General features: G+C 37.9%; 1 protein-coding gene, 1 long non-coding RNA gene and 1 pseudogene across 3 annotated transcripts in view, besides 2 other annotated features; 1 reads left to right on the forward strand and 2 right to left on the reverse strand.

Moving 5' to 3' along the window:
• The window catches only part of LOC102724446 (uncharacterized), a 75,216-nt gene that overhangs the window by 27,471 nt on the left and 24,052 nt on the right, over positions 1-23,693 (reverse strand). The gene's annotated exons all lie outside the window — the stretch shown is intronic.
• Positions 4,704-4,904: a silencer, noted in NCBI's record as "peak835 fragment used in MPRA reporter construct". NCBI's record gives its function as "represses an SCP1 promoter by STARR-seq MPRAs in K562 erythroleukemia cells {active_cell/tissue: K562}" and the evidence as "EXISTENCE:reporter gene assay evidence [ECO:0000049][PMID:32103011]".
• OR2G3 (olfactory receptor family 2 subfamily G member 3) lies at positions 12,477-13,406 on the forward strand. The gene has a single exon (NM_001001914.1). The coding sequence runs from the start codon at positions 12,477-12,479 to the stop codon at positions 13,404-13,406; it is 930 nt and encodes a 309-aa protein (NP_001001914.1).
• LOC124904709 (uncharacterized) lies at positions 13,979-14,092 on the reverse strand (annotated as a pseudogene).
• Positions 21,850-22,413: an enhancer, noted in NCBI's record as "H3K27ac-H3K4me1 hESC enhancer chr1:247778261-247778824 (GRCh37/hg19 assembly coordinates)". NCBI's record gives its function as "activates a minimal SCP1, AML or CMV promoter by ChIP-STARR-seq in primed H9 embryonic stem cells {active_cell/tissue: H9 hESC(primed)}" and the evidence as "EXISTENCE:reporter gene assay evidence [ECO:0000049][PMID:30033119]".

Here is a 23,693-nt window from a genome sequence, read left to right on the forward strand (position 1 = left end):
ACTTTTTAATGATTGTCATTCTAACTGGCATGAGATGGTGTCTCATCGTGGTTTTGATTTGCATTTCTCTAACGACCAGTGATGATGAACTTTTTTTCCTATGTTTGTTGGCTGCATAAATGTCTTCTTTTGATGGGGTTGTTTGTTTTTTTCTTGTAAATTTAAGTTCTTTGTAGATTCTGGGTATTAGACCTTTGTCAGATGGATAGATTGCAAAAATTTTCTCCCATTCTGTAGGTTGCCTGTTCACTCTGATGATAGTTTCCTTTGCTGTACAGAAGCTCTTTAGTTTAATTAGATTCCATTTGTCAATTTTGGCTTTTCTTGCAATTGCTTTTGGTGTTTTAGTTATGAAGTCTTTGCCCATGCCTATGTCCTGAATGGTATTGCCTAGGTTTTATTCTAGGGTTTTTATGGTTTTAGGTTTTAGGTTTAACTCTTTAATCCATCTTGAGTTAATCTTTGTATAAGATGTAAGGAAGGGGTCCAGTTTCTGTTTTCTGCATATGGTTAAGCCAATTTTCCCAGCACCATTTATTAAATAGGGAATCCTTTACTCATTGTTTGTTTTTGTCAGGTTTGTCGAAGATCAGATGGTTGTAGATGTGTGGTGTTAATTCTGAAGCCTCTGTTCTTTTTCACTGGTCTATATATCTGTTTTGGTACCAGTACCATGCTGTTTTGGTAACTGTAGCCTTGTAGTATAGTTGGAAGTCAAGTAGCATGATGCCTCCAGCTTTGTTCTTTTGGCTTAGGATTGTGTTGGCTATATGAACTCTTGTTTGGTTCCATATGAAATTTAACATAGTTTTTTTCTAATTCTGTAAAGAAGTCAATGGTAGCCTGATGGGAATAGCATTGAATTTATAAATTACTTTGGATAGTATGGCCGTTTTCACAATATTGATTGTTTCTGTACATGAGTATGAAATTTTTTTCCATTTCTTTGTGTCCTCTCTGATTTCCTTGAGCAGTGGTTTGTAGTTCTCCTTGAAGAAGTCCTTCATGTCCCTTGGAAATTGTATTCCTAGGTATTTCATTCTCTTTGTATCAATTTTGAATGGGAGTTCACTCATGATGTGGCTCTCTGCCTGTCTATTGTTGGTGTATAAGAATGCTTGTGATTTTTACACATTGATTTTGTATCCTGAGACTTTGCTGAAGTTGCTTATCAGCTTAAGGAGTTTTTGGGCTGAGATGATGGGGTTTTCTAAATATACAATCATGTCATCTGCAAATGTAGACAGTTTAACTTCCTCTCTTCGTATTTGAATATCCCTTATTTTCTTATCTTGCCTGATAACCCTGACCAGAACCTCCAATACCATGCTGAATAGGAGTGGTGAGGGGGGCATCCTTGTCTTGTGCCAGTTTTCTAGGTGAATGTTTCCAGCTTTTGCCCATTCAGTATGATATTGGCTATGGATTTGTCATAAATAGCTCTTATTAGTTTGAGATATGTTCCATCAATGCCGAGTTTATTGAGAGTTTTTAGCATGAAGTGGTGTTGAGTTTTATCAAAGTCCTTTTCTGCATCTACTGAGATAATCATGTGGTTTTTGTCATTGGTTCTGTTTATGTGATAAATTATGTTTATTGATTTGCATATGTTGAACCAGTCTTGGATCCCAGGGATGAAGCCGACTTGGTTGTGGTGGATAAGCTTTGTGATGTGCTGCTGTATTTGGTTTGCCAGCATTTTATTGGGGATTTTTGCATCAATGTTCATCAGGGATATTGGCCTGAAATTTTCTTTTTATGTTGTGTCTCTGTCAGATTTTAGTACCAGGATGATGCTGGCCTCATAAAATGAATTAGGGAGGAGTCTCTCTTTTTCTGTGGTTTGGAATAGTTTCAGCAGGAATGGTACTGGCTCCTCTTTGTACCTCTGGTAGAATTCAGCTGTGAATCTGTCTGGTCCTGGGCTTTTTATGGTTGGTAGGCTATTAATTACTATCTCAATTTCAGAACTCATTATTGGTCTATTCAGGAATTCGACTTCTCCCTGGTTTAGTCCTGGGAAGGTGTATGTGTCCAGGAATTTTTCCATTTTTAAAAAATTTTCTAGTTTATTTGCATAGAGGTGTTTATACTATTCTCTGGTGGTAGTTTGTATTTCTGTGGGATCAGTGGTGATATCACCTTTATCATTTTTTATTATGTCATATTACCTAACTTCAAACTATACTATAAGGCTACAGTAACCAAAATGGCATGGTACTGGTACATAAACAGACACATAGGCCAGTGGGACAGAATAGAGAACCTAGAAATAAATTCACGAACCTGCAACTATCTGATCTTCAACAAAATCAATAAAAATAAGCAGTGGGAAAAGGACTCCCTAGTCAATAAATGGTGCTGGTATAACTGGCTAACCACATGCAGAAGAAGGAAACTGTACCCCTACGTTTCACCACATACAAAAATTAAATCAAGATTAAAGACTTAAATGTAAGTTCAAACTATAGAAATCCTAGAAAAAACCCTAAAGAACACCATTCTGTACATCAGTCTTGGCAAAGAATTTATCACTAAGTTCCCAAGAGCAATTGCAACAAAACAAAACATTTACAAGCTGAACCTAACTATACTAAAGAGCTTCTGAACAGCAAAAAAAAAAAAAAAAAAAAAAAATTACCAACAGGGTGAACAGACAATCTACAGAGTGAGAGAAAATATTCACAAACTGTGCATTTGACAAAGGTCTTATATCCAGAATCTACAAGGAACTTAAATCAACAAGCAAACCACCCCCCCAAAAAAATCCAATTAGAAATGGGCAAAGGACATGAACAGACATGTCTCAAAAGAAGACATATGAGCAGCCAATAAACATGAAAATGTGGTCAACATTACTAATTATCAGAGAAATGTAAATCAAAACCACAGTGAGGTACCATCTTATACCAGTCAGAATACTGATTATTAAAAAGTCAAAAAACAGCAGATGCTGGTGAGGCTGTGGAGAAAAGGGAACGCTTATACACTGTTAGTGGGAATGCAAACTAGTTCAGCCACTTCGAAAGCAGTTTGGAGATTTCTCAAAGAACTTAAAATAGAGCCACTATTTGACCCAGCAATTCCACTCCTGGGTATATACCCAAAGGAAGATAATTCATTCTATCCAAAAGACACATGCACCTGTATGTTGCAACGCTATTTATACTAGCAAAGACATGGAATCAACCTAGGTGCTCAAGCAGAGGATTGGATAAAGAAAATGTGGTAGACATGTGATATACAATGAAATACTAGGTAGTTACAAAAAATAATAAAAATGTGTACTTTACAGCAACATAGTTGGAGCTAGAGGCCATTATCCTAAGTGAGCTAATGCAAGAACAGAAAACCAAAGATTGCATGTTCTCACTTATAAGTGGGAGCTAAACACTGAATACACATGAGGTAGGAATTGAACAATGAGAACACATGGACACAGGAAGGGGAACATCACACTCTGGGGACTGTTGTGGGGTGGGGGGAGGGGGGAGGGATAGCATTGGGAGATATACTTAATGCTAGATGACGAGTTAGAGGGTGCAGCGCACCAGCATGGCACATGTATACATATGTAACTAACCTGCACATTGTGCACATGTACCCTAAAACTTAAAGTGTAATAATAATAATAAATAAATAAATAAATAAAGTTAGGAACAATGGATACTGGGGACCAACAGATGTGGAGGGAGGAAGTGGGCTATTGGCTGAAGAACCACCTGTTGTATATCATGCTCACTTCCTGGGATGGAATCACTGGGACCCCAAGCCTTAGTGTCATGCATTTTACACGTCATGCCTTTTACCCATGTAACAAACCTGTACTTGTTCCCTTTAATGTATGATAAAAGTTGAAATGATTAGTTATTAGAATGGTGAGTTTTTTGTTGTGTATATTTTATCACTTTATATTTTATTTTACATATATGCTTATATACATATAATTTAATAAATATTTTACCACTACATATACTTTTTTTTTTTTGATATGGAGTCTCCCTCTGTCACCCAGGCTGGAGTGCAATGGCACAATCTTGGCTCACTGCAAGCTCCGCCTCCCGGGTTCACGCCATTCTGCTGCCTCAGCCTCCAGAGTAGCTGGAACTACAGGCGCCTGCCACCACGCCCCGCTAATTTTTTTGTATTTTTTAGTAAAGACAGGTTTCCATGTTAGCCAGGATGCTCTCAATCTCCTGACCTCATGATCCACCCACTTTGGCCTCCAAGAGTGTTGGGATTACAGGCGTGAGCCACCGCGTCCGGCCTACATATACGTTTTAAAAATTAAAAACAGGCTATGAATTCAGAGGGGAAAGAGTTCAGGAAGGAAGTCTAAAAAATACAGTGATTATACAAGAGGTTGAACATATGAAAAACTAACAATTTCAATATGTCAAATAACCTCCCAAGTGACTGTAGTACAAAGATCACCAGACTCAGAAGAATAGTTTTGAATTTCAGTCCTAACTCTTTTATACCTAGTAGATAAAGTTATTGACAGTTACATCAAAGATGGGCCTAAATTTCTAGCTTGCATAATTGGATAATAGTGACATTATTCACTTTTACAGCAAACAAAATGGAGAGAGCAAGGGTTTAGATTTGAACACAGTGCATTTGAGGTGTCTCACCTAGTGGAGATGGTAGTTTCAAAATAGGATACATGAATCTAGTCCTCAGTAGAGAAATCTACACATAATTAACATAGCAATAAGCATATAGTTTCCGATAAGAGAAAATTTAATTTGTTAGAAGATCAGTCCCGCTGGACTGGGACTGATGAATCCAACCATTAAGGGCTTAAGAGAGTAAGAAGAGATTGCAAAAGAGACAGTTATTCTAGGCATTTGTTATGATAGCTTTAATATAAAGTATCTCAGTTCTAAGAGAATGATGCTCAAGGTTAGAAATCCAAAGTACGGGCAAAGAGATTCTCTTTAAAGGGGATGACGAAGATCTTCTCTATGGTAACTAGAGTGAAGGAGGAGGGACACAGAAGACTTAAGTGGGTTTTCTTTTCGCTCTTTCACGTTGGACAAGTTTGATGGCTTCTATTTCCTATGTGAAGTACGAGGTGCCAGAATAATACTGAAGAAAGGAATACTTCACACTGGGGAAATATGTGTATTATTGTTCCTTGATGATCCAAAGAAGCTAGTCAGTTCCTCCACTAATTGCCTACTGGGGATGCAGGTTTTTCCCAGAAGACGTGGTAAAAACAAATCATGGCAATTTTGTAAATTTGCAAAATTCACTGTTTCTGCTTCCCTTTTTCTCCAAGTTTTCATTGCCACTAACATAATTTCCTCAGGATAAACTCAGGCGAGAAATATAAATCTTGAACAGATTGTTTTTTGAAGCCAGTTGTCTTGTGGGTCAACAGCAGGCTGGACACAAAATAACAAAGCTAAGAAAATGTTATATGACTTGCATCCTGAAGATGTGAAAAACACCGACACCTTTAAATATTCCTGAGTGTAAGTAAGAATTCAATCTGGTGTAATCTAAATTGAATGCAATCATTTCTTAAAGAAGTTCATAAAAGTTAATAGGTAGAAACTTTATTGCTTTCATTACTGTTGGATTTGCTGTATCGTTAAAGTAATAATGTTGCGTGACACAGGTAAACTATCTGGACTTCTGCTTTCATTTATCGAATATAAAGATAGGGCAATTTCTTGTTAGTCTTCGTAAGTACAAGTTAGTATCATGCAATTAATTAGTATAATTAGCATTTTGGGGATAAATTTTACTTATAGAAACAACTTAGTTGATAGATTTAGCACACACTCAATTCCACAAAAACACAACTATAACACAAGTGGAACACTCAATTCGAGGTAATTTCAGCCTTCTGTAAAAAAATCACTCAAGAGAAGTACTGCAGAGGAAGCTTCCTCAAGTAGTGCACCACTGCTAACCTTTGAAATTGTAAGCTCTTCGCCAGCTGAAACAGAGGGATAGTTGAATTACAATTTAACCAAAATGATTGAGGGTTTAAATTATTGGGTTGGATTTCATTGAGTAGAAATAAAATGTTTTCCAGAGGACCACTGTTTCTCGACTCTATTAACACTGCTGTAATTTCTGTGTTTCCTTCTCATGAAGTAATTGTATTTTAGTAAAATTTGATGGTTAGCAAGAATATGTATGGGTAGAGGACACTTACTTAAACAGACTGAGTGCTTTACTGATCAGGTGGGCAACTTCCAATCTGGTCTTAAAACACGTGAACAGACACTAGGAAATCTGTAGCCATTGGTCTCATATTTTCACCAACTGGTCAAGTAACTATGGAAGACCAGAGCATCTGGAAGATGGACTAGACCAGAAACGCATCGGTCTTAAGTTGGATTCTCCAGATTGAGAGAGGACACGATTATGATTTTTCAGTCGTCTGTCTTAAAGCTTTATTCAGGCAGATGGTTAGAATAATGAACAAGGGCTGAGTGGCATGGCAGCACACAGGTATTTAAGGGGTTGGCTTGTGGTTAAAAACCTGTTTTGGGGGGAATTGCAAGGACTTGGCATGCAATGGTGCTTGGTGAAAGCTGAGGTAAATCAGCACAGATGTGAGCTCATATCGCTGTTGAGGGTTCCATGAACAAAAGGCTCCTGCAGTTTTATGGATCCAGGGACCATGAGAAAGGGTAAGGGCTAGATGTGGAAAAGTACGGATAGGGGAAAGCTGCCTCCCCACCTCAGTGTTCGGCACAGCCAGCGCGTTGAAGACTCTGGAGGGAGTTGCAGTCAAGGGTTCGCTCTGACCTCTCTGGCTTGTCATGTTCTTTTGCATAATCACATTTATATCTTAAGCGTCTTTATTCCTTGCTCATCTTTATTCCTTGCACTTTGTCTGGTGCTGTAGGCAGAGCCTTCTTGTAAGGCAGGAGAAGGGGAGAAACTTAAAGACAACTTTCCTATCTTTGACTCAGTATTCAGTACTTTACCACATGTAGCCCTTTCCCTTTCTCACGCTCCCTGGTTTGGGGATCCATAAAATTGCAGGGGCCTTTCGTTCATGGAACCCTCGACAGTGACATGACCTTCGCATCTGTGCTGATTTACCTTCACCAAGCACCACTGCATGAGAGGTGAGGTAGCGGGATGGGAAGGGATTAGGAGGAGCTGATGCTTCTTCCAGTGTTATACACTGGAATGCATTATCATAGTCAGTGATTAGAGGCTTCACGGTAACTTTCATTTTGGTTCCTTGCTGCTTTAGGGTCCTCTGACACCTTATAGCTCAGCTCTCTCCCCAGGTCAGCTGATCCACCAATATTAACCACTTCTTTTCCCAGTATCTTCCGTCCAGGAAGATTCAACAGAGTCTGACTGGGAAATAGGACACATGAAAAATGCATTCATTTCTTCATCAAGCATTTATTGACACATTAGTATGCATTTGATATCATATAAATTCCATAAAGTATCAGTAGAACATGACCCCTCAGTTTAAGAAGTAGGTTATGGTTTAGTAGATACATACGGTCATAAAACATTAGGTCAGTATGGTATTGGAGTTTTTTATTGTAGAGGTAAGTTTAGGGTACGGAATGAACACAAAATAAGCCTCACCAAGGTTGGGTGGAGGGATGTATGAGAGAGGAGTGCTAATCAGAGTCAAAGAGGACTTTGTATGTTCGTGAGAAATACTGAGTCTTAAAAGTGTGTAGATAACTGCCTGGTGAAGGGGGTTGGAGAAGATTATCATTGTCATGGGAAGCAGCATAAGAAAAGCCATAGCTCCATTATGCTTAGCAAACTAACGCAGGAGCAGAAAACCAAATACCACATGTCATCACTTATAAGTGGGAGGTAAATGATGAGAACACATGGACACATAGAGGGGAACAACACACACTGGGGCCTCCCAGAGAGTGGAGGGTGAAAGGAGGGAAAGGAACAGGAAAAATATAACTAATTAGTACTAGGCTTGATACCTGGGTGACAAAATAATATTACAACAAAGCCCCATAACAAAAGTTCACCTATGTAACAAACCTGCACATGTATGCCTGAAATTAAAAGGTAAACACACACACACACACACACACACACACACACACACACACACACGGCATAGCTGAATGTAAGGGCTCAGCTTGCTTTCTGCCATCTTCTCTAAATGTGTTTGTGATCATTCTCTTCTCTATACTTGTACTAATATGTATATTTTTCTATTTATTATTTATTTTGCCATACTTAATGTAAAGATTCTCAATTATAGGGAGAATATAAATTAGAAATGTCTAAAATGGTAAAAAAAAAAAGTGTCTGAGTTTAGCACAAACTAACATTTCTACAGGCATTCTGCAAACATTCCATCTGGCTCTGGTGCGAGGAAAGAACCCACAGCTGGCTCTGAAGGGAATGTAAATATGCACATTAGACACAATCACCTTACTCAAATGTTATGCTAACATTTTACAACAAGCAGGAAGAATAACCTTGGCTGATGAGATTCTGAAACACATTTTGATTTGGGAGTCTTGGTAAGTTATACAACAATTAGTGAGAATAGGAATTGTCCTGTGATTTCACGTATCCCTACTTTCCTCATTCTGAAAGAAAAGCACGAAATCATCTTATATCCTCAGTTTACCTCCCTTTCCATTTAAAAGTCAGTATTAGGTTAATTTTGTCATTTTCATTCCATTAATTTTCTTCCCATTGACTTTCATTCAGTTAATGTTGTCATTTTGGTAATTCTCAGGCTATTCACATGACACGAACCTAGTTAATATCATGAGAACTATTGAACTATCCCTACCTGAACTCCCTCACATCAATATCTTCCCTACCCATCTTCCTATCAATGCACCAATATTTCCAAAATGGAAACAGAAAATATTACTCTCTTGTGTGCTCAGAGCCTTTAACAACATCTTACTGCCTGCACAGCAAAGCTAAGAACTTTATTTCACCCAGTGATTTCTACAGTTTGACTCCAAGTATTTTATTTTCTAAGCATACCTTCAGCACTCACCTTTTTGAATCTTTTTTAAAAAAAAACTATACTTAAATAAAACAGTATTTATCGTGTTGTACATGATAAATATATACAATTTTAATTTGTCAGTTAAAAATAAATGAATAAAGAAATAAAAACAAAGTAAGTAAAGAAATAAGAACAAAACAAACAAAAAACTGTTTTAAAATTTCAATAGCTTTGAGGGTACAAGTTTTGAGGATTATAAATCATGCTACTATAAAGACACATGCACACGTATGTTTATTGTGGCACTACTCACACTTGGAACCAACCCAAATGTCCATCAACAATAGACTGGATAAAAAAATTGTGGCACATATACACCATAGAATACTAAGCAGCTATAAAAAAGGATGAGTTCATGTCCTTTGCAGGGACATGGATGAAGCTGGAAACCATCATTCTCAGCAAACTATCACAAGGTCAGAAAACCAAACACCGCATGTTCTCACTCATAAGTGGGAATTGAACAATGAGAACACATGGACACAGAGAAGGGAACATCACACACAGGGGCCTGTTGTGGGATGGGGGACTGGGGGAGGGATAGCGTTAGGAGAAATACCTAATGTAAATGACGAGTTGATAGGTGCAGCAAACCAACATGGCACATGTATACCTATGTAACAAACCTGCACTTTGTGCACATGTACCCTAGAACTTAAAGAATAATAAAAAAATCCATAATAATAGTGGTATTATGTGATCAGCTTTTGATTAAATACTGACTCATTCATTCCATAGTATTCACTGAGCCCAGCTGTGGGTCAGGCCCTTTGATAGGTCCTGAGGACACAGCAGTAACTTTAGCTGGCTGAAGTGGTGGAAAGACAGTTGGAGTGGCCACAGGTAACTCCATTTACCCTTTTGCACAAGAAAATTAAATACACGTGTCCTAGGTGCCAAAGGTGCTTATGGAGTCAAGTATATGAGCTGCCTTTAGGGAAATATTAAGCCTAACTCTGGGTTGGGCTTTATCCAGCCCCATAAACTTAAAATTGAGTAATTTGGGGCACGTATTTTAAACATTTTTCATCTGTAGAATTAGAACACTACTACCTACCTCATATTTTGGAGCATATTATGTGAAAAAGGCCCAGAAAAAAACTATATTTTTTTAAAAAACAGTATTTATCTTGTTGTACATGATCATTATATACAATTTTAATTTGTCGATTAAAAATAAATGAATAAGTAAAGAAATAAAAACAAAACAAACAAAAAACTATATTTTAAAATTTCAATAGCTTTGAGGGTACAAGTAGTTTTTGGTTACCTGGATGAACTGCCTAGTGGTGAAGTCTGAGATTTTAGCGCACCTATCACCTGAGTAGTGTACACTGCACCTAATATGTAGTTTTTTAAATCCCCTACTCCCCTCCCACTCTCTCACCTTTTCAGTTCCCAATGTCCATTATACCACTGTGTGTGCCTGTGCATACCCATAGCTTAGCTCCCACCTGTAAGTGAGCACATACAATATTTGCCATTTCTGAGTTACTTCACTTAGAATAGTGACCTCCAGCTCCATCCAAGTTGCTGAGAGGCATTATTTCATTTTTTTCATGGTTTAGTAGTATTCCATGATGTATAACCCATTTACTTTATCCTCTCATCGGTTTATGGGCACTTAGGTTGGTTACAGATCCTTGCAATTGTGAATTGAGCTGCGATAAACATACACATGTGCATGTCTTTTTGATATAATGACTTCTTTTCCTTTGGGTAGATACCCAGTAGTGGGATTGCTGGATTGAATTTTAGATCTACTTTTGTTTTTTTGAAAAATCTCCATACTGTTTTCTATAGAGGTTATACTAATTTACATTCCCACCAGCAGTGGATAAGCATTCCCTTTTTACCACATCCACGCCAACATCTATTGTTTTTTGACTTTATAATAGTGGCCATTCTGGCTGGGGTAGGGTAGAATCTCATTGTGGTTTTAATTTGCATTTCCCTGATTATTAGTGATGTTAAACATTTAAAAAATTTGTTTGTTGGTCATTTGTATATCTTCTTTTGAGAAATGTCTATTCATGTCATTTGCCCACTTTTTGATAGGATTATTTGTTTTTTCTTGCTGATTTGCTTGAGTTCCTTGTAGATTCTGGATATTAGTCCTTTGTCAGATGCATAATTTGCAAAATATTTCTTTTTGAATCTTCTTACAAAGACAAGTGAATCATTCACACATTCTCTTCCGACATTCTCCAGATGACTTTGAGTTTTCTTCAACAGTCTCATAAATTACTTTCATTTTTGTTTATAATTTGTTTTGTGTTTTTGACATTTTGAAAGTTAAGGAATTTTATTTATTTTTATTTTTATTTTTTGAGATGGAATCTCACTCACTTTGTCTCCCAGGCTGGAGTGCAGTGGTGCGATCTTGACTCACTGCAACCGTCCACCTCCCAGGTTCAAGCAATTCTCCTGTCTCGGCCTCCTGAGTAGCTGGGACTACAGGTGTACACCACCACACTTGGCTAATTTTTGTATTTTATTACAGATGGGGTTTCACCAAGTTGGTCAGGCTGGTCTCGAACTCCTGACCTCAAGTGATCCACGTGACTCAGCCTGTCAAAGTGCTGGGATTAAAGGGGTGAGCCACAGCATCTGGCCAAAACGTTAGGGAGTTTTAATATATTTATCTCAGGGTTCCTTCAAACAAATTTTATATTTATAAGAATACTGCAATGCATCTTTAACTCTTATAATTATATATATTCCTTTGAGTATATGTATTTTTCTTCACTAGTAAGGACTATTAGCCAACTTGGTTAAATAATGCCTAAATAAATAAAAAATTTTAAAACTAATTTTTATTTTTTGGCAGTTCAATCATTGAATAAACTTTTATGAGATGATTTGAATTTATATCATATATTTTGGTTCCTTAAATATGTCTTTTCATTTTCCACCAGTTAGTACCAATGTGACACATATCAAAAATGATTTTCTATCTCCTTCATACCAATCATACCCATTTTAAAGGTTTTAAAGTCTTTGTTTTAATTAGTTTTATCTAAAAAGTCTTCCCCATCTGATTGTGCTTACAATCAAATCTGAGTAAGGTATTTCATATGCAGATAATTTATTGACAGTTGAAAATCAGGGAGATACTGTTCACCGTATTTTGAGAGAAATTTATTTTTAGTGGTAGGTCATTGTGGATTTTTTGATATGCATGTAAATATGCACTTTGATTGGCTTTAATAATCAATCCCCAGACAACTCCAAAGTTGTAATCATTCATAATTTTTAAAGATGAGCCTTTGAACTGGAATGAAGAAACATGGATTGATGTTCCAAGTCAGCAGCACATTAGTGAAAAATGAATAGTTTAGGGTGAAAAATGAATAGTTTGGGAAAGTTGGTCTCCATGATCCTCTCAGCTCATGTGTTCTGTTATTCTAAATTTAATTGTTTTGGATGTACCCATTCCATTCCTGCCTTAGGTGCGGATCCCCCTGGAGGGATGGGATTGGGCAATGAGAGTTCCCTAATGGATTTCATCCTTCTAGGCTTCTCAGACCACCCTCGTCTGGAGGCTGTTCTCTTTGTATTTGTCCTTTTCTTCTACCTCCTGACCCTTGTGGGAAACTTCACCATAATCATCATCTCATATCTGGATCCCCCTCTTCATACCCCAATGTACTTTTTTCTCAGCAACCTCTCTTTACTGGACATCTGCTTCACTACTAGCCTTGCTCCTCAGACCTTAGTTAACTTGCAAAGACCAAAGAAGACGATCACTTACGGTGGTTGTGTGGCGCAACTCTATATTTCTCTGGCACTGGGCTCCACTGAATGTATCCTCTTGGCTGACATGGCCTTGGATCGGTACATTGCTGTCTGCAAACCCCTCCACTATGTAGTCATCATGAACCCACGGCTTTGCCAACAGCTGGCATCTATCTCCTGGCTCAGTGGTTTGGCTAGTTCCCTAATCCATGCAACTTTTACCTTGCAATTGCCTCTCTGTGGCAACCATAGGCTGGACCATTTTATTTGCGAAGTACCAGCTCTTCTCAAGTTGGCTTGTGTGGACACCACTGTCAATGAATTGGTGCTTTTTGTTGTTAGTGTTCTGTTTGTTGTCATTCCACCAGCACTCATCTCCATCTCCTATGGCTTCATAACTCAAGCTGTGCTGAGGATCAAATCAGTAGAGGCAAGGCACAAAGCCTTCAGCACCTGCTCCTCCCACCTTACAGTGGTGATTATATTCTATGGCACCATAATCTACGTGTACCTGCAACCTAGTGACAGCTATGCCCAGGACCAAGGGAAGTTTATCTCCCTCTTCTACACCATGGTGACCCCCACTTTAAATCCTATCATCTATACTTTAAGGAACAAGGATATGAAAGAGGCTCTGAGGAAACTTCTCTCGGGAAAATTGTGATTCCTATGGACATGATTTGCAAGGAATTCATTATAAGCCAGGTAGCTTATTCAGCTTCTATTTAGTCAAACCCATAGTTCTAAATTTCACATGAACTATATTACTGCTCACTTATTTTCTCTTCATAAGGGACTTTTTCCTTTTTTATGTGTAACTAAGTAAAATGTTTATATGTTTATTTGAGAGCATAAACTATTGAAAAGAGAGCTGTGGATGGTTGTAAATTGTGATCCTCACCACAAAGCCTCTATTTTATGTCTGATACTTATTCCCAGGGATTCAGAAAAATAAATTATTAAGTATTTACCATGTATTTATCTAGGTTAGGAGACTTTTCTTCAGTTTTAATAAAATGTTCAGTTTCCTGCCAAACACTTTACATTTACATCGTAATGTCCTTCATTATAGCTTTATGTTGAAAATAAGCAATTCCTGCATGTGCTCGTAGTTCAAATTTATTGGTCAGTAGGATATTGCATAAGCTATTTTTAAATAACCGTTCCAAATACATTTTAAGAATTTATAAGGGGTAACAAGAACAAAATACGCTAAACACATTATTTTTCATAACTTAGAGTGTGCATCTCTTTTTGTGTTCTGAGGCCACTTTATCCTTGTGCAGGAGCCATGCTCATCTTCTCTGTATTATTTCAATGTTAGTATATGAGTTGCAGAAGTGAGAACTGAGGTCACTTTATACATGGTAGGTACAAGACTTTTGAAAGAATAAAATAATCAAATAATTTTCTTCTATACCTTTTCATACATTCAATCAATGAGAATAATTGGACTTCAAAAGACATTATTATTTTCTTTTTTTAAAAATACAGCTTCATTGAGGTATAATTGATATACATATTTAATGTATAAAATTTGAGGAGTATGGGCTAGGCGCGGTGGCTCACACCTGTAATCCCAGCACTTTGGGAGGCTGAGGCGGGCGGATCACGAGGTCAGGAGATCGAGACCATCCTGACTAACACGGTGAAACCCCGTCTCTACTAAAAAAAAAATAAAAAAAAATTAGCTGGGCTTGGTGGCAGGTGCCTGTAGTCCCAGCTACTCGGGAGGCTGAGACAGAAGAATGGCGTGAACCCGGGATGCAGAGCTTTCAGTAAGCCAAGATCGCGCACTGCACTCCAGCCTGGGCGACAGAGCGAGACTCTGTCTCAAAAAAAAAAAAAAAAAAAGAAAAAAAAAGAAAAAAAATTTGATGAGTATGATATATACATACACCCTTGAAAATATCACCACAAAGTAATACACATAACCATTACATCTAGAAGTTTCCTTGTGCTTCTTATTTGTGCTTGTTATAACACAACATATGATCAACACTTTTAACAAATTTTTCAGTGCACAATACTGCACTGTAAACTATAAGCACTATGCTTTATAATAGATCTCTTATAACTTATTCATCTTGCATAAATGAAACTTTGTACTTATTGAACAAAAACTCCCCATGTTCTTGTCTCTCATCCCCTAGTAACCATCATTCTATTCTCTACTTCTATGATGGTAACTATTTTAAATATTTAATATAAGTGAAACCACACACTACTTGCCCTTCTCTGACTAGCTTTTTTATTTAGCATAATGTCCTCCAGGTTCATTCATATTGTTGCAAAGGGGTCAATTCAGCAAGAGTATATAACAATTGTAAACATATATGTACCTGACATTGAAGCACACAGATTATATAAAGCAACTATTATTAGAGTTAAAGAGAGAGATAGGTAGGCTCCAATACAACAATAGCTGGAGACTTCAACACCCCACTTTCAGCATTGGACAGATATTCCAGACAGAAAATCAACAAACAAACATTGGACTTAATCTGCACTACAGACCAAATGTACCTAATAGACATTTACAGAACATTTCATCCAAGAGCTGCAGAATACACATGCTTTTCCTCAGCACATGGATCATTCTCAAGGATAGACCATATGTTAGGTCACAAAACAAGTCTTAAAACACCCCAAAAATTGAAATAATATCAAGCATCTTCTCTGACCACAGTGGAATGAAACTAGAAATTAATAACAAGAGGAATTTTGGAAACTATAAAAACACATGGAAATTAAATAATATGCTCCTGAATGACCAGTGGATCAATGAAGAAATTAAGATGGAAATTGAAAAGTTTCTTGAAATAAATGATAATGAAAACACAACATATCAAAACCTATGGGATACAGCAAAACCAGTACTAAGAGGAAAGTTTATATCCATAAAAGCCTACATCAAAAAAGAGGAAAACTTTCAAATAAACAATCTAATGATGCATTTTGAAGAACTAGAAAAGCAAGAGCAAACCAAACCTAAAATCTGTAGAAGAAAAGAAATAAAAAGATCAGAGCAGAAATAAATGAAATTGAAATTAAAAAGGTCAATAAAAGAAAGTTGGTTTTTTGAAAAGTTAGACAAAATTTATGAAACTTTAGCCAGACTGAGAAAAAAAGGAGAATGTCTGAATAAACAAAATCAGAATAAAAAGAGACATTATAATTGATGCTGCAGAAATTCAAAGGTTCATTAGTGGCTACAATGAGCAACTATATGCTATTAAATTGGAAAATCTAGAAGAAATGAACAAATTTCTAGACACCTAAACAACCTACCAAGATTGAACCCTAAGGAAATTCAAAACCTGAACAAGCCAATAACCAGTAACGAGGTCAAAGCTGTAATAAACAGTCTCCCAGTGTAGAAAAGCTTTAGGACCCAGTGGCTTCATTGCTGAATTCTACCAAACATTTAAAGAAGGACTAACAGCAATCCTACTCAAACTATTCCAACAAATAGAGGAGGAGGGAGTACTTCCAAACTTATTCCATGAGGCCAGTATTACACTGATACCAAAACCAGACAAAGACACATCAGAAAAGGAACACCACAGGCCAATATCTCTTATGTTATTGATGCAAAAGTCCTAACAAAATTCTAGCAAACAAAATTCAACAATACATTAGAAAGAAAGATTATTAATCATGACCAAGTGGGGTTTATCCAAGGGATGCAAGGATGGTTCAGCATATGCAAATAAATCACTGTGATATATCGTATCAGTAGAATGAAGAACAAAAACCCATGTGATCACTTCAAATGATGCTGAATAAACATTTGATAAAATTCAATAATCCTTCATGGTAAGAGCCCTCAAAAAACTGGGTATAGCACCATGGAATACTATGTAGCCATAAAAAAGAAGGACTTCATGTCCTTTGCAGGGACAAGGGGGAAGCTGGAAGCCATCATTCTCAGCAAACTAACACAGGAACAGAAAACCAAACACCACATGTTCTCACTCATAAGTGGGAGTTGAGCAATGAGAACACATGAACACAGGGAGGGGAACATCACACAACGGGGCCTGTCGGAGGCATGGAGGGTAAGGGGAAGGAGAGCATTAAGACAAATACATAATGCATGTGGGGCTTAAAACCTAGATGATGGGTTGATAGGCACAGCAAACCACCAGGCACATGTATACCTATGTAACAAACCTGCATGCTCTGCACATGTATCTCAGAACTTAATGTAAAATTTAAAAAAACTGGGTATAGAATGAACATACTTCAACATAATAAAAGTCATGCAAAATGGACCCACAGCTAGTATCATCATGAATGGGGAAAAACTGAAAGCCTTTCTTCCAAGATCTGGATCACAACACAGATGCCCACCTTCCCCACTGTTATTCAACATAGTAGTGGAAAACCTAGCTAGAGCAATCAGACAAGAGAAAGAAATAAAGTGTGTCAAATTGGAAAGGGAGAAGTCAAATAATTATCCTTGTTTACAGAAGATATGATCTCATATTTGGAAAAACCTAAAGGCCCCACCAGAAAGCTATTAGAACTGATAAACTCAGTAAAGTTGCAGAACACAAGAGTACAAAATAAGTAGCATTCTACATGACAACAGTGAACAATATGGAAAAGAAATTTTTAAAATCCCATTTTATGTGTAGTGTCACATAAAATTAAATACCTAGGAATTAAGCTTAGCCAAAGAAGTGAAAAAGCTCTGTAATGAAAACTGTAAAACACTAATGAAGGCAATTAAAGAGGACAACAAAAAGTGGAAAAATATTTCATGTTCATGGATTGGAAGAATCGATATTGTTAAAATGTTCTTACTACTCAGAGGAATCTACAGATTCAAAGCAATCCCTATGAAAATACCAATGACATTCTTCACAGAAATAGAAAAAAAATTATAAAACTTATATGGACCCACAAAAGACCCAGAATAACCAAAGCTATATTAAGCACAAAGAATAAAACTGGAGGAATCATATTACCTGACTTCAAATTATACTATAGTGCTATAGTAACCAAAACAGCATGGTACTGGCACAAAAACTGACACAAAAATCAGTGGAACAGAATAGAGAACACAGAAACAAATTCACACATGTACAGTGAACTCATTTTCAACAAAGATGCCAAGAACATTCACTGGAAAAAGACAATCTCTTCAATAAATGGCCCTGGGAAAACTGGATATCTACATTCAGAAAATGAAACTAGACCCCCATCTCTCATCATATACAAAAATCAAATCATAATCAAGACTTAAATTTAAGACGTCAAACTATAAAACTACTACAAGAAAACATTGAGGAAAATCTGTAGGACATTTGTTGGGCAAAGATTTCTCTAGCAGTAACATCCCACAAGCGCAGGCAACCAAAGCAAATGTGGACAAATGGGATCACAGAAAGTCAAAATGCTTCTGCACAGCAAAGGATGCAATCAACAAACTAAAGAGACAACCCACAGAATGGGAGAAAATATTTGCAAACTACCCACTGACAAAGGGTTAATAATCAGAATACATAAGAAGCTCAAACACCTCTATAGGGAAAAATTTAATAATCTGATCAAAAGATGGGCAAAAGATTTCAATAGATATTTCTCAGAAGAAGACATACAAATGGCAGACAGGTATATGAAAAGGTGTTCATCAGAGAAATGCAGATCAAACAGGCATATGAAAAGGTGCTTATCAGAGAAATGCAGATCAAAACTGCAATGAGATATCATCTCACCCCAGTTAAAATGGCTCATATCCAAAAGTCAGGCAATAACAAATGTTGGTGAGGATGTGGAGAAAAGGGAGCCTTTGTACACTGTTGGTGGGAGTGTCAATTGCTACAACCACTATGAACAACAGTTTGGAGTTTCCTCAAAAAAACAAAAATTGAGCTACAATATGATCCAGCAATCCTGTTGCTGAGTATATACCCAAAAGAAAGAAAATCAGTATATCAAAGAGATATCTGCACACCTATGTTTGTTGCAGCTGTCTACAATAGCTAAGATGTGGAAGTCACCTAAATGTCCATCAACAGACGAATGGATTAAGAAAATGTGGTACATATATATAATGGAGTACTATTCACCCATAGAAAAGAATGAGATCCTGTCATTTGCAACAACATGGATGGAACTGGAGATCATTATGTTAAGTAAAATAAGTAAGGCACAGAAAGGCAAATTATAGCATGCTCTCACTTAATTTTAGATGTGGAATCTAAAAAATTCCAGCACATAGAAGCAGAGTGCAGGATTGTGGTTACCTGGAGCTGGGGACTGTGGGGAATGGGCAATGGTGGTAAGAGGATATAATGCTTCAGCTAGACAGGAAGGATAAATAATAAGTATTTGAGGTGATAGATATGTTAATTAGCTTGATTCAATTATTCCATAATGTGTATATATGTGTATACTACATATATGGTAGCAACAATTTTATATTGTATACAATTGTAATTTGTCATTATCTGACAAAAATAAATAAAAATTTAAAAAGGATAGTGTTAAACTTTGCACTATAACAATAGCTTAAAACATGAAAAAATTATATAATTGAATGTTGATAAGTCATGTTTACATTATTAAAAAGCAGTGATGTGCAGAGAAAATAACTTCTGGCTCATGTCTGGTTTGCATTAGATACAAGTTGAATTAACCTGTATTTTCCTTACCATGGAATATCCAGATTTATTGGGTGAACATGGTAAAGACTGAAAAAGTTGCCTTGGGATAAGAAGTAAAGGATAAAATAAATCACATAAATTTTGTGTATTTCTGCAAAGTGAAACATAATATGAATAAAATAATTGGAAACGGTGCCATTTTCATTTTAGTTGAGGAGCAGACAATTCTAAAGACATAATTTTCAAAACTATGATCATGAAGCTGCTTCCAAAATAAAGAAAATAGTAAAACTTGTGGATTTGCCTAAATCAGAGTCTTAGAAATCTGTCTTTTGAGAATTCAGGGTGAAGACACAAGCTATGTGTACAAGGCACTTAAACAAATTATACCAGCTTTCCATTTAGGAGAAGAAAACTGAAAACCCAGGGCCATGATCTCCATATAGATGGAGAATTTACATATTTATTAAGATAATCAAATTGTGGAATAAATGGCTTGCTTCCAGTGATTAAAAATTATCTGCAATATTTTGACCATATTTTTTACGAATTGCAGTGAAGAATTATAAAATATTATTTGACCACTCTATAAATAGCATCTAAACAGATATAATCTTTAATACACTATAGGACATGAATAACCTCCTCCAAATTAGTTTTCCAGGATCTCTAAACAGAATATTTCAAACTTCAGGCTTATGATTTAAAAATTTTAATTCATTTTGCAACTAATGAACTGGAAATAAGAGTCTTCATTGTGAAGCATCTCCATATTTCTAGGTTTCTGATCAATCAGAAGGACAGAACTCTCTGGAAAAGTCATTAATACTTTTTCTCATGTCCAACAATCCATACATTTAGGTAAGAGTTTTCTAACTTAGTAAGAAAAATACGCAGGTCTTATTTAGCTTAGCCCATTCCTGTGAAGCAAGTTGTAGGTACTCTGGTGAAGAAATAATATACTTCTCACTGATACAAAAGCCATTACTATTGGAGTTTCACGATGTAAGATTGCATGCCAAAAGCACAGATCTTGATAAAGATTAGACAAAAGCAATGTGACATGGGGGCCCTGGGAAAGGAGAATGAGGAGTTCAAGTGACAGTTTATAGTTCCAGGTAGGACAGAGCAAACACATTTCACCTGGTGGGAAAAGATAAAGCAGCTACCTGAGAATTCTAGGAAATATACAGTAGCAGGTAGATCAAAGTCCAAAATTTGAAATACTATCAAACCTGTGGTAAGTTTACTATTTTTTTCCTCTTGTCTTCAGGTGACTTAACCTATGATGCAGGCCCAATCATGGAAGAGCATCTTTATGTAAATCCAAAATTATTCTAAAATAAGAAGTTTATATAAGGACTTTAGCATTTAGAAAGATGGAGTTGAAGTACTGTTTCTTTTTCCTCCTGCCAAGTTCAATTAAAATCCTTGGACACTGTATATAAAACAAGCATAGGAAGATTCTGGAAGGTGAAGGGAATAAGGCAGACCAGCTAGGGACTGGCTTGTTGTTTTCTTCCTCCTGTATAGGAAGGAGGTCTAGCCTAGGTCTTGGAAAATCTCACAGTCCAGAAATGCTGAAGGGCACAGATCTAAAGAAAAAGCCCCTATAACACCCAAGTCTCTCCAGTCAAAGGACACGAAAAGGGAAGGCAGGCAAGACAGAAACTTCTAGACAATACCTTCTCCACTCCAGCCAAACACCACAGAAAAGACAGAGTCCTACCTCTAGTCCCACCAGAAACATTAAAATGGGGAGCCTGGGCATCCACTCTTACCTGATTTTGCCTCTCCCGCCCCTTGATGGGCTGGAGTCAGCAGAAGCCTGCTGGAGAGTTATCGTTGCCACAGCCCAACGATAACAAGCCCATCCACTATGGTGTCACTGGAATTACGTGGAAGCAGTAACACAGCACATTTGCCCATTGCATCCACAGTGATATCCCGCAGAGAGCTGGAAATCCCACCCTGCCAACAGCAATGAGGAGTCCTTTCTCCTCATGTAGGAGTCAAAGAGGTGGTGTTTGGAGGGAGCAACACCACTTTGATATTGGGGTGAAGATAAGATATTGGGGTGAGAAATAAGAGGATGTGCAGGAGTGTTATTCGCAGCAAGCAAGATCTTGAAAGGTATATTATTCCCCAAACAGTACTTCTCCATTTTGTTGGCATAGCAATTCAGAAGGGCACTTTGGAAGAGGAGCTGGGTCATTCGTGACTTCTTAGTGCTCCTGTAGAACACAGGCGGTTCGTGCTTGTTGATGTGACTGAAGGCCCTAGAGTTCTCACTGTGCCAGATCACAGGGGCCATCCTGGCACTGAGTGGGCCTGTGGCCTGTGTCCACAGGGAACACCCTGCAGGTTGGGTCCATGGGTACCAGCCTGGTGCTTGTGGCCACGGGGGAAACTGGCCTGCAGTTGGTGGGCTTAGAGCCTGTATCTGTAGGGCCAGCCTGGATACTGGGTCTGCTGGTGTTGGAATGGTGCCCAAGGCCATGGTGGACGGCCTGGTGCTGTGGTCTTCAGGTGCCAATCTGGCACTGGAGTAGGCCTGAAGCCTGGGGTTATAGGGTTGGGTCTGGCACTGAAACAGTCTGGGTCCTGTGGTCACTGGGGCTGCCCTAGTGGTGGAGCAAGTGATGGAGAACCTCAGGCAGGTCTGGAGTCTGTGTCTACGGGGGCTTCCTTGGCACAGGAATGGGCCTGGAGGCTGGGTGCATGGGTGCTGACATGGTGATTTGACGTGTTGGGTTAGCCTGTTTACGAGGCAGGCCTAAAGACTATGGTTGTGGGAGCTGGCCTAGTGCAGGGGGATCTCTGGAGCCCGGGGCTTCTGAGGCTGACCTGGCAGTAGAGCAAGCTTGGGGACTGTGTTTGCAAGGCAGCCTGGAGCCTGGTGATGCAGGGGCTAGCATGGTGCTGGGTTTTACTGGGGTAAGCCTGGTGTTGGGGTCTGAGGCAAAGCTTGGTGCTCACTTTCCTTTGCCCACACAGAGGTTATCTCTCTCCATACATTACTGCTTGGCATTGGGAATGAGGCGATGTGGGTAAGATGACACTGTCCTTCCTATCCTCTTCATTGCATGTTTTAAAATTTCTGTGCTGCAATATCTCATCTGGTTTTCTTAGTTCTTGTGAAGGTCCTTTTGGGCATGAATAATTGTTTGAACTGATGTTTCTGTGAGCAGATGAGAGTTGGAAAGTCCTATTCCACCATCCTGCCAGTGCCATTTGTAGAAATAATTTCTTCAACAACAAAAGAAAAAACCAAAACAAAAAAATTTTAAAAGTGGAGAATTCTGTAATCTCAGAACTTTGGGAGTTCGAGGTGGGGCGGATCACCTGAGGTCGGGAGTTTGAGACAAGCCTGATCAACATGGAGAAACCCCATCTCTACTAAAAATACAAAATTAGCCTGGCGTGGTGGCGGGCACCTGTAGTCCCAGCTACTCGGGAAGCTGAGGCAGGAGAATGGCGTGAACCCGGGAGGAGCTTGCAAGTGAGTGGAGATCATGCCACTGCACTCCAGCCTGGGCGACAGAGAGAGACTCCGTCTCAAAAAAAAAAAAAAAAAAGGTGGAGAATTAATAGAAAAACAACATTGAAATTAGTAAGTTCTATTTGTCAAAACACTATAAAGAGAAATATAAAACTACAAACTTGAAAAATATCTACAACTAATTTCATCAATAAAGACTTAGTATCCATAATGAAAAATAATTCCTGCATACTAATAAAAATAAACTCAATTTTAAATGAGGAAATATTTGAATAGCATTCCACAAAAGAAGCAATCCAGTGACCACTCAATCCATGTAGGCGTGAGGAATGACATGAAATGAGACAGAGGATTGGAGCATTCAAGCATATGGGCCAAGTCAAGAAATTTTACCTTTAATACCAAAGAAATGCAGAGAAAGGTCTTAAGACAAGGGTGACAGGTTAGTTTTGTTTTTTTGTTGTTGTTATTTCATTTTGTTTTTTTTTTGAGACAGGATCTTGCTCTGTTGTTGAGAGTGGAGTGCAGTGGTGTGACTATGGCTCACCTCCATCTCCCTGGCTCAATAGATCCTCCCACCTCAGCCTCCCGAGTAGCTGGGACTACAGGTACATGCCCCTGTGCCCAGTGAGATGGTCTTAAACTCCTGGGCTCAAGCTATCTGTCTGCCTCAGCCCCACAAAGTGCTAGGATTACAAGCATGAGCCAGGATGCCCAGCTGGATTAGCTTTGTGTTTAAAATTTGCCATTCATATACAAAATTGACTTGGGATAGAAAGGGCTATGAAAAGGCACAAATATACCTATTTGGGAAGAATATTAGGATAAAAAT

The sequence above is a fragment of the Homo sapiens genome, chromosome 1, assembly GCF_000001405.40.
Source record: "Homo sapiens chromosome 1, GRCh38.p14 Primary Assembly".
Lineage (NCBI taxonomy): Eukaryota > Metazoa > Chordata > Mammalia > Primates > Hominidae > Homo > Homo sapiens.

Coding starts and splice junctions, on each gene's coding strand:
- OR2G3 (NM_001001914.1), top strand. CDS start 12,477: ATGGGATTGGGCAATGAGAGTTCCCTAATGGATTTCATCCTTCTAGGC.